The sequence below is a fragment of the Homo sapiens genome, chromosome 10 (assembly GCF_000001405.40).
Source record: "Homo sapiens chromosome 10, GRCh38.p14 Primary Assembly".
In the NCBI taxonomy this organism is placed as follows: Eukaryota; Metazoa; Chordata; class Mammalia; order Primates; family Hominidae; genus Homo; species Homo sapiens.
In genome coordinates, this window is record NC_000010.11 from 76,026,286 (window position 1) to 76,042,601 (window position 16,316).

Consider the following 16,316-nt stretch of genomic DNA (forward strand, 5'->3'; position numbering starts at 1 on the left):
GTATGTAGAGGTAGTTTAACATAGTTGGGGAGCACTGCACTTTATGTACACAGGTTCTAAATGTGGCCTGGTGACTCATGTGTGTTTTCAGGTAGGCCACTTTACCTCTCTGGACATTAGTCATCTTCTGTGAAGTAGGGGGAGAGTGGAACAGCCTAAAATTCCTCTAGGATTCAAAGTCTATGAGTCTATAAGAAGACTATAATAGGGCATATTTTACACAAATAGAGCTGTAGCTCTAATATGTAGTTTACTTTCTATAAGAGGTCAGGGTGCAAACATGTGCCTTTTTATTATGGGCACATGTTACACCCTTCCCATAGTTAGGAAAATATTAAAGAAGCCTTGCACAGTCCCAGCTAGAAGAATGAGGCATAGAGTTTAGTGTGCTGGAACTCTGCTACCCTCTTCCTACCAGACTGACTCTTAAGGGACCCTTTGGCAAAGCAGAACTGACTTAACAGCCCTTATAAACTATAGTTATAAAGGAAGGAGCTCCAGTCAGATAACCATAGTATCTGGATAGAATATTAGAAGCCATCGAATCTGATCTCTATGAAGAAATTCCCTCTAAACATTCTCCATGATTTTAGCCTCTGTTCAAATAAGTATAGTGGCTCTGAGGGCAGCTCATCCTTTAGTGAACAGCTTCTCCATTTTGACAAGTTTCAAAAAATTGATTCAAGACATTTCCTCCCAGCTTACATAATTTTCTATTTGTTTTTGATTCTGCATTCTGGAACCCTGTAGGCTGAGGACTTTGAAATGACTAAGACTTCTCTGCTCCTGGTTAAGCAACTTTAGGACTGTCTCAATCACTGTTTCTTACACCCTTCACCTCCTGGTGGTTGTCCTTGGATGGTGTTTCTGAATGCAAATCCACCTTTGAATCTGGCACCTGGAATTCAAACAAAGCTCCAGGCACAGGCACTTAGGGGCCAGGAGAGTAGTAGAGTGGATTGGGATCAGATTTGCTTCTGTGGTGGTCACTGGCGATTCATACTAAGTCCTCTTCCCAGACACTGCTCTTTTTCTAAAGCTTCTACATGTTATGTATGTGGAATTGTCTTGTTTTATTTAAAAGGAATATTAACTGTGGTTTTTCCTGATTATAAAATGTATATTCATGATAGAAAATTTAGTAGCTAGAGAAAACTATTTGAAAATGACTGATAAACTCCTTACCTGGGGGTTAACGGTATGTATCTGGGAGATATAGATAGGTATCACACACATACACACACACACATAAATATATACATTTAAGTGTGTTTGTGTATGTGTGTACAGAATTGTTATAATGTCTCTGTGTACAAGATTGTATATTAACAGCAGTTTATAAACTAGAACAACTAAGAAAGATGACTTTGATGATTCTTAACCATTAACATGGAAGAAAATGCCCAGAAAAGCTTGGTGCAGATTAAAATTTGTGTGGAAAATGGTGAGGACCATATGGATGACTTTTAATTTTCATGCATGAGATCTTTGTGTGTGTACTATATTACATTGTGACTTAATTTGGGGTACTTAAATGTATAGCATGAAAATTGTACTGGCTCATTAGATAGCTGCCTACAATATTATTTTTAATTCCTGTGTAATATTTTATGATACAGATATATTGAGCTTTATTTAATCATTCTTCAATCCTTGGGCATTTAGGCTTGTTTGCAATGTTATTGTAAATGCTATAGTGAACATACTTGTACATAAACTTATACACATCTTTGATATTTACTGAATAAATTATTGGAATTGGAATTAGTGGATGCAAAGGTAATTATTTTTAAGTCTTTTAATATAAATTGCCATCCAGCAATTTCACTGTCTCATTAGTCTTGTGTTTGTTTGAAGTAAAAGCTTGACAAAACTATGTTAAAATCTAAGAAAAGGATATAAATATTTTTATTAGAATATTCTAGATTCCTAATAAAGCTGAAAATTTCTCCCATATTTTTATTATTGACAAATTTCCTTGTGAATTTTCCATCCAAGGTTTTTGGTCATTTTTCTGTTAGGGCTTCAGGTTTTCCTTAATGATTTATAAAAGCTCTTTCCATGTTAAGGGTGTTAAATCTTAGACTGTTAGAAGGGTTGCAAATATATTCCCAATTTTCATATTCCTTTTAATTTTTTCGAGTAAATATTTTTGGATAGTTGAACTTTATTATTTAGTTTACATTAGACACTGTGAAATTTCATCTTATTGAGCTGAAAAATGGTTGATTCTAACAGGATCATTTTGGATCCTACTGTATCTTTCTTAATATCTCTTTAGGGTCCTGTCCCCTATAAATGTGATAAACATCTCCTTAACCAAGCCACTGGCAAAAAACAAAAACAACAAAAAACAAAAAAATAAGATCAAAATCCCTAGAATCTACCCATAGAGCAATTTGAGCCATTAATCAGTATTCTTCAGGTACATTTTTGAAGCAGTTATGACTCTACTTCTACCTAAGATTGTCATTTTCTAGCCTACTTTTTGGCTTCCTGTCACAAAGATATTATGAGAAGCTTATTCAAAGCCTTTTTTTTTTTTTTTTTTGAGCCGAGTCTCACTCTGTCGCCAGGCTGAAGTACAGTGGCATGATCTCAGCTCACTGCAACCTCCACCTCCCAGGTTCAAGCGATTCTCCTGCCTCAGCCTCCCGAGTAGCTGGGACTACAGGCACGTGCCACCACGCCCAGCTAATTTTTGTATTTTTAGTAGAGACGAGGTTTCACCATGTTGGCCAGGATGGTCTTGATCTCTTGACCTCATGATCCACCCTCCTTGGCCTCCCAAAGTGCTGGGATTACAGGCATGAGCCATCATGCCTGGCCAACCATTTTGAACTCTGAATACAATATATATCTTCTTTATTCCTACATGAGTATCTCCATTAACAACTGGTCTCTCAAAACTTTTCCTTAATGCACAGAATCTGCCTGTTTGAGAATCTGTATTACATTTTATTGATATATATCCTACCTCATTCTATGAAAGGTTTGGGCTAGCTTATTAGAATGAATAAAATTAAAAAGCAGTATATAAATAAATGAAATACCAAGGCTATGAAAAAATTATAAGCCTTGACAATGAAGTTAGAAAGCAGGTATGGATATCATGAAGGATTACCTTTTTACAATTGGGTCACAATTTACCTCTGAGCTTCCTGGTAGCAAAAGTAAAAAAGATAACATGATCAGATACATTATTCACGTTGTCCTACAGCAAGAAAATACAGGTTCCTGAGAGCTATCATCTGACCAGAATTTCATATGGGTAATTATATAACCTCATGTATCCAAAATAGGAGAATCTACCTTCTTACCTCCTTTTTCAAGTAACATTAACTCCAAGGGCTTCTAGCTCCTTATTCTCCATTACTAATTCTTTAGGCATCATATTTGAAAGTTTTCTTAGTATTCTTAGATATGGTGCAGGGGGCTTCAGACCTAGTTAACTATTAATACTTTAGCTTTTTGGCTGGTCTTGGATTCAGGTCTCTCAGATGAGTGTTGAATTTTACTGTCTGCAGTTCAGGGATTAGCCATCATGTTGGGGTCTCAATAGAGCTTTGGGGTTGACTTTGACCCCAAAGTCATGTAACCACTACTTCTTTTTTGTTGTTATTGTTTAGCAATGAGGTCTCGCTCTGTTGCCCAGGCTGGAGTGCAGTGACATGACTGTAGCTCACTGTAGCCTGGCCCTCCTGGGCTCAAGCGATTCTCTTGCCTCAGCCTCCTGAATAGCTGGGACTACAGGCTCACACCATCATGCCAGGCTACTTTTTGTGTTTTAGAAATGGCGTCTTACTATGTCGCCCAGGCTAGATGCAGTTCCTTGTGATGTCAGTGTACACTCTGTCTCACATACCCTAGCCAGAACCTTTTTCATGTTCTTCTATTTCTTAAAGACATTTCTATTCATCTTGATACACTTACAGTATGGATTAGTTGATTTATATAATTATTTGTGTGTGTGTGTGTGTATATATATGTATGGCTATGTGACTTGAATGGCAGAAAAATACACACAGCCAACTCTACATACTGTATATAGTAATATACAACATGTATAATATGTATAGTAATATATAACATGTATAATATATGTCGTAATATATAGAGTTACGTATCTATGTCTGTCTTTATCCATACATTTAAGGATATAAAAAAGAGTTTTATGGAAAAAAGAATATCTCTTACAGGACTAGGTAAACAAATTATAAAAATGTATAGGTATAAAAATGTCACCCATAATCCCAGCACTTTGGGAGGCTGAGGGGGGCGGATTATGAGGTCAAGAGATTGAGACCATCCTGGCCAACATGGTGAAACCCTGTCTCTACTAAAAATACAAAAATTAGCTGGGCGTGGTGGCGGAAGCCTGTAGTCCCAGCTACTCAGGAGGCGGAGGCAGGAGAATCACTTGAACCTGGGAGGCGGAGGTTGCAGTGAGCTGCGATTGTGCCACTGCACTCCAGCCTGATGACAGAGTGAGACTCCATCTTAAAAAAATTAAAAATGACTGTGCTGCCACTGGACCATTTAGTGGGAGATGAGTGGTCACATCATACCTCACCAATTCTCTCTTTTCTCCCTTCATTTTCCACCAGGTGGCTTTTGGTCACCTGTCCTGTCCTTGTGGCTTTTGCCATGCCTTTGTGGGAAGTTGATATACAGACATTTCCCAAGGAGCTGCCGTGTGCCAGGCACTGCAGTTGGAGTGGTGGGGGGAGTATAGGAGAGGAACAAGTTACTATTTCTGCTCTCAAGGTAATGTTGAAACAATTTAACAACTGCACTGTCCAATTAGAATTGATGCTGGCTGGAGCAGGGTCTATGGTAGCCCTGGGCTGTAGTGGGCATTGGCCTCCTAGTTTCTGGATTATGAAGAGGTCTGGGGGTGCCAAGGAATGGCCAGGGTAGCAGGAAGGGCACTCAGAGCTGCAATTATTTACCTACTGAAGGAAGTATTTAAATATTTTAATAATGAGAACTGGTATACCCATGCAGACTTGCTGAATGTTACTCTTTCCTGATCTTAGCCACATGGCCCCAGGGAAACCATGAGGAGGCATTCTGGCCTCTGAAAGAATACGAGTCTAGAGGCTGCCCTCCTTGCCACTGGCCAGTGTGCTGGTCCTGCTGTCTGTCCCATGCTTGGATTTATTGGCCGTTTTTTTCTTAGACACTCCCAGGTTTTGGCTGAACAGTGCTCAGTGGATGAGGCAGTACCGAGCCCTCACTGTACACTTAACAGCTTTCTAGGAGTATGGAGGCTGCATGGAGATCCCCTCTTAGAGGGGCCTGGGCAGACAGAAATCATCAGAGAGATCCATACAGAACAGGCAGCAGCCAGCCCTTGCAGGTCTGGGGGCCTAGCCAGGGTAGTAGACATCAGACCCAGGTTAGGCCCTTTAGAACTTCCATGGCCACACCATTTTCTCAATTAAAAATATGGGCAGGGATATTTAGAGTCGAGGAAGTAGGTAAAGATCTTTGTGGAGATCTTGCTTTCTTGATTGGTTTGAGAACATCCCAGCCTTTGCTCCTGGATTTGGGGCCAAATATAGTCCCAAAGAGACAGATGCTTTTGTTTTAGGGTCTGTGGTCAGCTATTCCCCATGTTCGCTGCCCATCTCATGTTGGTGCAGCTCTGTCACCCCTGGTATAGGCTGGAGCTGAGGGAGGAGAGATCGAATTCTTAGCACAGCCTAGATCCAAGGATTGATCCAGGGGTTCTGGAAGTATCCTCTGGTGGTTTTTATGGTACAATGTTCTGGCTGGTTTTTGGCTGGGCAAGGGGCAGGGAGGAATGGCTACAAATTAGAGGCTCCTGCCCAAGGCTGCCAGCCCTACCTGGGCCCGGGCCCTGGCTCTTCCCCTCCATTCTGGTGAGTGGCTCATTTGCAGGGAAAGGATGAAGGTCACTGATTTGTGCCCACCCAGGAGCAGAAGGGACTGGGCCTCAAGGGGCGGCCCTTCTGTGGGGCCCCTGGCCCCCTACCCATGGCCCCCCCATGCCAGCCACTGGCCTGGCCTGGGCAGGGCTGCACGCCTGTTCGGCGCTGCTGTTTTCATAAGCTAATGAGGGCAGAGTGTGAGCCACAGGCGATGATGTTGGGATATTAACTCTGACAGGAAGCTTGATCATAATTATCTTAACGAGGATAGGGTTAATTACAGTGGAAACTTAAAAGTTCTCTCCGTTTGAATCCACTGGAGCCCAATGCGTTGTGATGTTTTGTCATTTTGATGTGACTTTGGAAAAGGCACTGGGATGCTCCCAGCAGCCGCTGCAGCTCCTGGGGGAGCCCAGGCAGAGCCCTGGGAACGAGGGAAGGAGGTAAGAGGATGGTACCTGTGTGTGAGATCCTGGCTGCGTTGCTGCTGGTGGAGGGGGAGGCAGGCAGCCTGCAGGGAGTTCCAGGGGTGCTGATTAGGTTTCCAGAACAATCCAGGCCTGGATGATCTCCCTCCAGCTGGCTGTGCCTAGGTCCTGGGTGAACCTTGCTCTCTCCTATCAGCCCCCAGCCCATACCTCAGACATCGCACTACTCCAGGAAGCTGGTGAGTGATGCTGGACTGACAGTTGGCGTCTCCACCGGGGATCTGGTTTTGGGGTGCATTTTGCTGTCCATACACAAGGTGATAGCAGACAAATTGTCATTTTATTTAACAGCACATATTTGCAGGCACCTGGCATATAGGGGAATGAACTCAAAGATCTACACACATATTTTTTCTCCTATTCCTCCCTAGAAAACAGCAGTAAAAATAACAGTAAAAAAAAAATAAATAAAGGGTAAAGCCACCTCATTCTAGGTGTATGTGTATTGTCGTCCACGTGTCAGCTGGGACCCCCAAAACCTATCTTCCCCAGTACTCCCATTTACTATGCTCTCTGCCCCCTGACTTCTGTGCCCCAGCCCTCAGCTCTGGATCTAGATGATTAAATCCCCAGGAGCACACCACACTGATAACATGAAAACAAGGATTTATTCATTAGCAATCACCCATGTAATATGGTTCTCTTTTTACTGAGCAGCTAATAACGTCACATAGCAAAAAGAGTCTCAAAACCAGACAGGTGACAGGGGATTTGAGACTGATCTTACCAGCTCTTCTGGGAAGTCTCACTCTGGCGTGGATTTCTGCCCCATAGCCCACCCTGAGGGGAAGAAAGGCTGGCTGGATGGAGGTGGGCGCTTCCTTGGTGCTCCTGGGCTCTCCCCATCTTCATGCTGTGTCGTTTTGCTTTATGCCTCCCTGGAGCACTCTTGGAAAGGAGCTTTCTTCTGCTTGCCAGTTGCCAACCATTTGCTGATTCTCATCAGAAGAATCTAATATTTGCATAACGTAACTCAGGAACAATGTGTATTTGGATGCTGCCTTTGAGCGGAGTCCAACTGATGTTTGTGCACAAAGGAATTATTAACCACCCGTAAGGCTCCCTAAGGGGAAGTGGCCTCACCTCCCCTAGTGGTAAACGGGCCCAGTCCTGAGAAGCCTTTTGGCACATCACTCCCTAACCCCTAGTGGAGGAAGGGACTTCAGAAGAGCCCGAAAGTCCCCTGCACAAGCCTGACTTGCTGCACGCCTCCTCTGTGGGTTTGTTCATGGGCCCGTCCCCTGCATTCCAAACACACCCCCAGGGTCAGGGCGTCTGGAAACAAAACAGTGAATAAAAGGAGGAAGGAAAAGAAAAAAAAAACAGCGTATGCTAGTAACCAGTTAGCCGTCCTTCACTTATTCTCGACAAGATCCTATGAGCTGGAAGGAACACAGAACAGGAGAGTTCAGATGGGCTATTGACAGGCCCAAATTCACACAACAGGAAATAGAGGAGCGGAGGCAAAGTCCCAAACCTTCCTGCCTAGATGTGCGTACATTGTGGGTTTTTAAATTTTTTTTTTGTTTGTATTTTTTGTGGGTACATAAGAGGTGTAGATATTTATGGGTCACATGACATATTTTGATACAGGCAGGCAATGTGTAATCATCACATCAGGATAAATGGGATATCCAGCCCTTCAAGCATTTATCCTCACAAGTTGTGTTTTGCCTCTCGGAACCAAGAGGAAAAAGAGAAAGGAGGAGGAAATGAAACACGATGACCTCTGGACCCCTACTCCAAAATGTGTCCCCCCTCGGTGGGGCTGGCAGTGTTGGTTGGAGGAGCAGGCGTGCTCTGGGAGTCGAGTCCTGAGTGGGACCACCCCGAGGTCTGGCAGGAATGGAACATGCCGGCAGAGCTCTGGGCCCAGTGGTATCTACAGATTTAATTACTTACAACACATTTTTATACCTCGTAAGTATTGACTCCCTATTTTGGAGTCCTCTTGGCAGCGATCCCACAAGGGAGCTATGGATGCCTTGGGAAAGATCTGGTGCTGAAGTTCACACTCACAGCAGATGTGCAGACATTGCACACGCAAGCACACGGGGCTGTAATGGAAGCACTATCAGTAAATGAATAAATAGTGTGGACGACATCTCCCTGATTTGTCACATTTTATAGAATAGCCCGGCATCCCCTACGTGTCTCCCTCCCGTCCACATCGTAGCTCAGCTGTCAGCCGGTGCAGGCTCAGCACATCTCCTGGGTCTGGCAGGTGAACGAGCTGGGAGTCTGTGTCTCTGTGTAAGCCCCTCTGCCGGCCGGCTTGCTTTAATTAATGTCTGTGTGCGCCCAGGCAAGCACTTGTGCACAACTACCTCGTGTCACCTCCACCCCCAACACTCATGAGAGCCCATAAAATTAAGAGTTAACTTTCAGCGATGTGTATAAGCAAGGCTATTTTTCCCTTTCTGCTGTTTTTTTTTTTTTTTCCTGGAGCCGGGTACTTAATTCTTTCTGTTGCCTTTTTATTTACTGCCTCAACATCTACAGGGTTGCACTCTACACTTCTTTCAAAAATTAAGTGAGAAATCCACTTTCCATAAATTAAAACAGTAACTTCAGGCCAGGAGCTTTGAAGCAGCAATTCTCCCAACCCCCGTCTCCCCACCCGCAGCAAAAACAAATAAAAAGAAATAATAAAAGAAAAAGCCCTCTCAGATCGGAGTGATTATGTAATTCTGCAGATGCCTTGCCTTTGGGGCAGCCACTGGGACGCTGGGCAGAAGCAAATTAAGTGATTAGTAAAGAAAAAAGGCAGAGGAAAAAAAAAAGTCAAAGGATGTGAACGGAGAGAAAGGAAGCCTTCCCTGTCGTTTCCCCCGCGACTGTACAGAGAACTGCTAAGAAATGATACTTGAAGTTATATTTATTATTGTAAGAGGGTATGATATTTCTGGGCAGGAATGATGGATGACAACTTGAATTTGTGTCCAGGGAATGAAGGTGAACTGTGACAGAGTTATTTATCTTGGGAATGGAGGTTAGGGTCAGCCGAGGCTGGGTGCCTGAAGGCACAAGACATTGACAAATTTATCCTGCAGGCCGTATCTGAAGCCCTTTGTTTTGGATCCTGGCTACTCACTAAGTGACCCTCATCCTTCATGTTGGCAATGCGTGAAGGATGCGGTGGGTGCCAGCGGCCCCTTCTCCCCCGCCGCCCCCGCCCCGACTCCTGCTACTAATTCTTGTCATTCACTTTGCTGACAGGCACCAAGCCCAAACTATTCCCAGTCCTGAAAGGGAAGGTTAAAATATTTATTTCGGCTCATAATGGCCTCCCTGATTTAGTGCAGGATCATTTTTCCTGTTGCCTTTGTCATTGCAGGTCACTGGAAGGACTGAGCGCATTCAGGAGCCTGGAGGAACTCATCTTGGACAACAATCAGCTGGGGGACGACCTTGTGTTGCCAGGGTTACCCAGACTGCATACCTTAACCCTCAACAAGAACCGAATATCCTTTCCTCTGCCCGCTGCCCCCACTCCCCACCCAGCCCCACAGTCGTCCCCCAACCCCACCCTGCACAAATACCTGCAAAATGTCAAATGAGTTTTACGTGTCAGCTAAATTAAAGTATGTGAAATACAGTTCGTGGGCAGACAAAGCATTCTGTCTTCTGGCACTCGGGACACTTCAGAGTAATTTATTATAGGTCATTCATAAATGAAACGCACCATTATATCTTCCTGTTGCTCCATTTTAGTGTAGAGATCTAAGTTATGGCTGTGAAGAAATCTTTTTAATAGATAAAAATAGAGAAAGAAAATAATGTCACCGCTGCAGAGGCAGCGAAGCCCAGTCTGTTTGCTTGGGCTTGTGTGGGAGGGCGACCTCTGGTGGGAAGTCCCGGGTAATGCCGCCAAGCAAACTTCCTCTCCTGGGAGGTTTCTGGAAGGCTCTGGGGCAGGCTTGGGGAACCGTTTTGGTGAGGGAAAGGAGCTAAGGTGGCAGAGACATGTGAAGCCCAGGCCTGGCTATGCCCTCACTGGGGGATACCATGCTCTGGTGATGAGAGGCCTAGGGGACCCACGACAGTGTATGGCCTCCTCTATGGAGGCAAGGACCTAGTCAGCCTAGGGTGAGACTTACGGGCACTAACTGCTCTGGATTCTGTAGTGGGGATGGAAACAGGGAACCCTTGCTGCAACCTAAGGCCCGTAGCTCCTGCATTGTTAGTGTAGTGGATTACCCGGCACTAGAATGCCAGCTCGATGGGACAGGGAGTTTCCTTGGTTTTGTTAACTCCTCTGTTCTTCACACTAAGAATAGTGCCTGGCACCAAGTACAAGCTCAATAAATATTTGAGGGATGAATGCATCATTATCATTAGCTATTCCTTATTGAGCACTCCTAGGAATGAGGCATGGTGCTGGGTTCTTTATGTGTGTTGTTATTCATCCTTACCAAGCCCTGTGAGAAGGGTGTGTCTTTTCCATTTACCTAGACATAGAAAGAGGTGAGGTGTAGGCACACAGCCAGACACTAGCAAGATGCTAGGTCCTGGATGATTCAGTGTCAACTGTGTTGTGTCCAAAGTCCAATGTCTGCATTCTACTGTGTTGCTTCAGACTCAGTGGTCCAATGGCTTTGTTTTATTGGATGGAACATTTGAGACCTGGAGTAGTTAAACCACTTGTTCACATTCATACAATAAGTTAGAAATAGAAAAGGAGACAAGGCATTTTCCTCTAGAGTATAAAATAAAATCAGATATACATGTAAGGCTTGGCACATATGCATATGCCAGCATTTAAGAATGATTTGCAGAAGTATTTGTTAGCTACTGTTTATACTTCAAGCCATAAGTTAATGTTTTCTTTATTCTCTCAGATATTGTCTCAGTCAGCTCTTGCTGCTACAGCACAGTACCGTACATGAGGTGGCTTAAACAACAAACATTTATTTCTCACAGTCTGGAGGCTGGAGGTTTGAGATCAGGATGCCAGCAGGGTTGGTTTCTTGGTGAAGATACTTTCTCACTGTATCATCACATAGCAGAGAGAGAGGAAGCAAGCTTTTTCAAGTCTCTCCTTATAGGGGCACTGATCCCATCAGAGAGATCTACCCTTATGACCTAATCACCTCCCAAAGGCCTCATCTCCACATACCATCATTTTGGGGATTAGAATTTCAACATATGAATTTGAGGGAAGAACAAACATTCAGACCATAGTATTATAAATATGCTCCTTGTGGTCATTATTGTCACTTTGATAGAAGTAGAAGGGGAGGGCCTACATGTAAATTCACAGTCTTTGTCATAATGAAATTTTGGTGGAATTTTCCCTTCTTATGTCTGTTAGTCAACCAAGTTTCCCAATCACTCTTTGAAAAACTTTGTAGTCTTATGGCTTTCTAGGCTGTCTTAGATGATCAGTTGGCCAATATTCTCAAATAAATCAAGGACAGAAGGATTTTTAGACATGTCCTGTGTCCCAGGTCTCCGTAGAATATTAGGGTCCATGGACTTTGGTTCATGTCTCAGCTTAATCATATTTAGCGGTGTGACCTTGGACAAGTTATCTTCTGTGAGCTTCTTTTTCTCATTTTTAAAGAAATATGTTGGACTGGTCGATGGTTTTATTCACAGTATTGCTGTCACCAGAGATAAGCAGGCCTCTTGGCTTCAGAGTGCTGAGAGGTTTTCTTTGTCTTTGGTTGAGTCCTTTCCCTATTCTGTGCCTCCACTTTTCCAATCTGTAGCAGTAATGCTAAGGGAGTAATGGTAATGGCCTAGGAGGGACCGAAGCAGAAGACACTGTGTGGCTGTAAACCTGACCAGTGATATCACTGGTGCTGTTGTAGCACATTTTCTTATCAGTGAATATTCTGAATAGACTTCTTTCCTTTTTTCTCCTCTGCTCTACTAATGTGATTGTGAAGATCATCTTCCCCATCTACTTGACTCAGAAGTCACAGAGAAAGGTAGGTAAAATCAGGCAATAACAGCACATGCTATCTTCTCAACCCAGCACTTCTGATGCCACTTTTTCAGCTAAATGACTCTCCTACCTAACTGTGAGAATGTTGCAGGCTTTCCAACAATTTCTAGGTTCCATATTGTTATTGCCACCCCATGAAATGCTTTAGATATGGCCTCTATACATTAGCTTTTGCTGCATAATAATCCACCCCAACATTTAGTGGCTTAAAACAACAAATATTTACAATTCTATAGATCAGATGTTTGGCCAGGGCTCAGCAGGATGGTTCTTCTGCTAGTCTTATTCTGGGTCAGTCATGCAGCCACATCTACCTGGAGGCTCAACTGGGGCTGGATGGTCTAAGATGACCTCACTCATATGTCTGGAGGTTGGTACTGGGTGTTGGCTAAACTACCTGTCTCTTAACAGGCTAGCATAAGACACTTCACATGGGAGGAGTATTCTAACAGCACAAGCCCCATAGTACAAGTAGTCTTCAAGTTCAACTTATATCATGTGTTAATGTCCCATGACCAAAGCAAGTCACATACCAACTGTAGAACAAATATGGGAAGGGACTGCACAGGGTGTATGTATAAAGAAGCATAATTCATTTCTGTAACAATCTACCCAGGAGACCTTGGCATTGGCATCTTGTCTCCTTCAGATTTTACTTTATATTTGTGATAAAGGGAGCCCTAGAAACAAGTAACTATTGGCCTCCTAAAAAAGTATTAGCTCTTTTGTGTAAATTGAATCTTTAAACAAGTTAGGAAGCTTGCTGCCAAATGAGGTTTTATCTTGAATCCTTTTGTGAAGTTAGCTTTATTTTAAATTTTTTTGGTTTGTATTTTGGCATATGTAAAATGGTTATTCACCCCACCTACCATGTAAAATCTAGATTTTTCCACTTTGGTTTGACTCAAAGTTAAATGTGTCTATAATAATGCTGTAGGTTCCTAGACCCTGGACACTTGGGTCATTGGCTTCTTTAATCCTTTAGCAAGAGGGATTATCACATAGTGGTTAAGAACAACAGGCTCTGAAGGCAGACTTCCTGAGCTTCTACCCTAAACCTGCCACTTTTCTGCATGACCTTGGGCAAGTGATTTAACATCTCTATGTTTTGGTTTCCTTTGAAAATGCAGACAATGCTAGTACCCATCCCATAGGTTGTTTTGAAGATTATTCTAAGTATCTCAGACATATTAGATTCTAGTAACATAGTAAGTGCTATGTAAGGGTTACTATTATTGTTGTTGTTATTATCCTAGAGAATTGTGTAAACTCATCTGGTTTGACTTGGGCCACATTGTAACCAAGGCCAGAGTACAGATATACTTCTGAGTTTAGAATGGTTCTTTGACTTGCATAATTTAATATTGCCCTAATGGCATTCCGTGAGTTGGGTACTGTTGGTGAATAATTACTCTCATTTTTATGGAAAAACTAGGAGTGGATGAGCTCTCTGAAGTCACATAGATTGTCAGTAGTGGGGCTTAGTCTAGAACCCAGGTATGCTGATTCCCAGCTCCAGACTCTGAAACCCAAAGGAGCGGCAATCATTGTACAAGGAGAGGAGCCAAGATACAGGAGGAGTCAGCATCCTGAGCCTGCCTCTGCAAGGTCCTGCTCCCAGCTGGGGCTGCTGGGAGTCTGCTCTTAAAAGGGATTCCAGAGCCCAGAACCAGCATCTGGAAAATTTCTTCTGTGTTCATCAGTCAATGCCTCCCTGCCATCTGCATACCTCCTGCTGGACCTCCCATCTTTTTCCACCAGCCCTTTTTCTCATTGTGTTCAGCCCTCGTGTTGATATCCTGCTCTGGTATATCTGAAAGCCTGGTTGTCTGAGATTACCTCATCTCTTGGTTCGTAGGGATCTCATTTTCTTTCTTTGTTTCATTGAGACTGGCCAGGTAGTCACTGGCTATGGACTTGAACCCCTTCCCCACTGCTCACACTCTTTCTCTCTCTCTCTCTCTCACACCCAACCACGAGCATGCACACGCCATCCCCAACTCTTCCACCAGGAGGGGTGGGATATTTGGTAATGGTCTCAGCCATATCATGTCTGAATAATCAACCCCAAGTAAGGTTGACCACCTGAAAATTCAGGAAAGTGTAGATAACCTTTGCGCAATCAAATGATTCTCCCCCACTTTCCTTTTGGGGTGTGTGGGGGGCACATAAGCAGATTTTATTTGGAATCACACTTCATCTTCTGTCTCCCTATTTGCTTCAGCACATGTACTGAATAGCCAATGAGTTTGGATTATAGTGCCAGCACGAAGAAAGAATGGTGCTACATGTTACACAGCTGGGCTGTGGCACGGAGACCACTCCAGCGAGTCAGAGGTGGGACTGGAGTTCCCATAGCCATTTGCTGTGTCATCTTAGGAACGATTTGCTGTGTCATCTTAGGAAAGTCTCTGTACCTTGTCAGGGGCCTCAGTTTCTTTATAAAATGGTTAACACAAACTTCAGCATATTGTTGAGAGGTTTAAATGGTATAATATGTAGGAAATCACTTTGTTAAAGACTTTACAATTTCTTGGCATATTTTACTGTTAGCCAATGCCTCGATGCGTCAAAAGAAGTAGCCCAAATTGGAAGGAAGGATCTGAGGTACAGCACATAGCCCGGTGATGGCACCTGTGCTGTCACACAGAAACATGTAAGAACCCTCATGTTCCAGTGTTTTAAATTTTGCTTTTGTGTTAGGAAATTATAAGTCACTTTTTCCTCTAGAAATGCAGTTTCTTTAAGATCTGGGTTTAAATCCAGACTCTATCATGTACTAGCTGTGTGACCGTTAACCCGTTTCCTTAATTGTTATTTCAGCATGATAAATTTCTGACATATGTGAATAAAAATGAGGTATGTCATTATGCTGTATATTTAGTATTCAAAAACCCAGTATTAGGATTAGCTGTGGTTAAAATCATCCCAGTGGTTATGGAGGTTGCCCTTTAACCCGCAGCTGAGCCCAGAGGGAGGGATGTGTCCATTCTCACCTGGGACAGCTTTGGACCCGCACAACTGGACACAGGCTAGGAGGCTTCCCTCCTCCCTCATGCTCCAAACTTTCAAGGCAAGATGCTGCTTTGATCTTGGGCCCTCTGCAGAAAATCTCCTTTGGCAAGCCTCCCCATGACAGCTGGGCTCTGCAATGGCAACTTTCTGCAGACAACACTGAAAAAAAATCTCAACGCTAAGTACCCCGGAGAAGACTTGATAAGGGAAACCAGGTGTGTGCCGGGAACCCAGCTGGAGAGAGTTGAAACTGTGCCAGGTAGCTACACATTTTTAAAAAAGGTACCCTTAGGAGAATCCCTGAAATGATCCCCACTGCAGTGGTCTTGATTAGCCAGGGACACCAGGTTTCTTCCACAGATTGCCTGTGGTCAATTTTCTATGCATCTTGACAAAAAAGAAATGTGAGAAGTTCTATGTTGGATCTCAAAACCAGCCAACATAAGGCTGTGTTTGTCCTTGCTGACCCAGGAGACAAAGAAACCAATTAAAACTTCTCATGTTTTATCCTCTGGTGGTGCTATCAGCATAAAGGCGAAGGACTGGTCTAGAGCATGCATGCAGGGAGGAGGTGCTAGTGCTTCCTGCCTGGTGTGGATTTGGGGGAGACCACCTGACTCAGCCAAAAGTATCATTTATAGTAGGTAGTTGAAAGGCTTAGGAAGATGGAGCTTCTGCCATACAAAATACCCAAAAGCAGGCAGGCTCTTAGAAATCTCTTTGATTCATTGGCAAAGGATGGCTGAAGCTTCTTGGAACCTGCAGACCCCTTGCCCAGGAAAGTCCCATGATCAGAGCATTCAAATGATCCACTTCTTTGTGGCCAGGGACAGATCCAGGTTTGGGGAGTGTGAAACCTCTGTAATTTGAGGGAGCCCTCTTAAATACTATATAATCAGGAATGCAAAATTAGGTATGAAATGAATGTTTATTTGGAATAGAACTGTATCAAAGGAAATTTTA

The 16,316-nt window shown here is 43.5% G+C and overlaps 1 protein-coding gene across 3 annotated transcripts in view, besides 1 other annotated feature; it reads left to right on the forward strand.

The window, feature by feature from the left end:
- LRMDA (leucine rich melanocyte differentiation associated) overlaps positions 1–16,316 on the forward strand; it is a 1,128,545-nt gene that overhangs the window by 594,662 nt on the left and 517,567 nt on the right. For all 3 annotated transcript variants that reach the window (NR_131178.2, NM_001305581.2, NM_032024.5), the window contains one exon: positions 9,723–9,849. Coding sequence is in view for 2 of the 3 variants with exons in the window: in NM_001305581.2 (NP_001292510.1) it covers positions 9,723–9,849 (127 nt within the window). In the remaining variant the exon portion in view is untranslated. The remainder of the gene's footprint in view (positions 1–9,722; positions 9,850–16,316) is intronic.
- Positions 7,860–11,846: an enhancer, noted in NCBI's record as "VISTA enhancer hs1679". NCBI's record gives its function as "enhancer in: neural tube[6/6] | heart[4/6] | other[4/6]" and the evidence as "EXISTENCE:transgenic organism evidence [ECO:0001131][PMID:17130149]".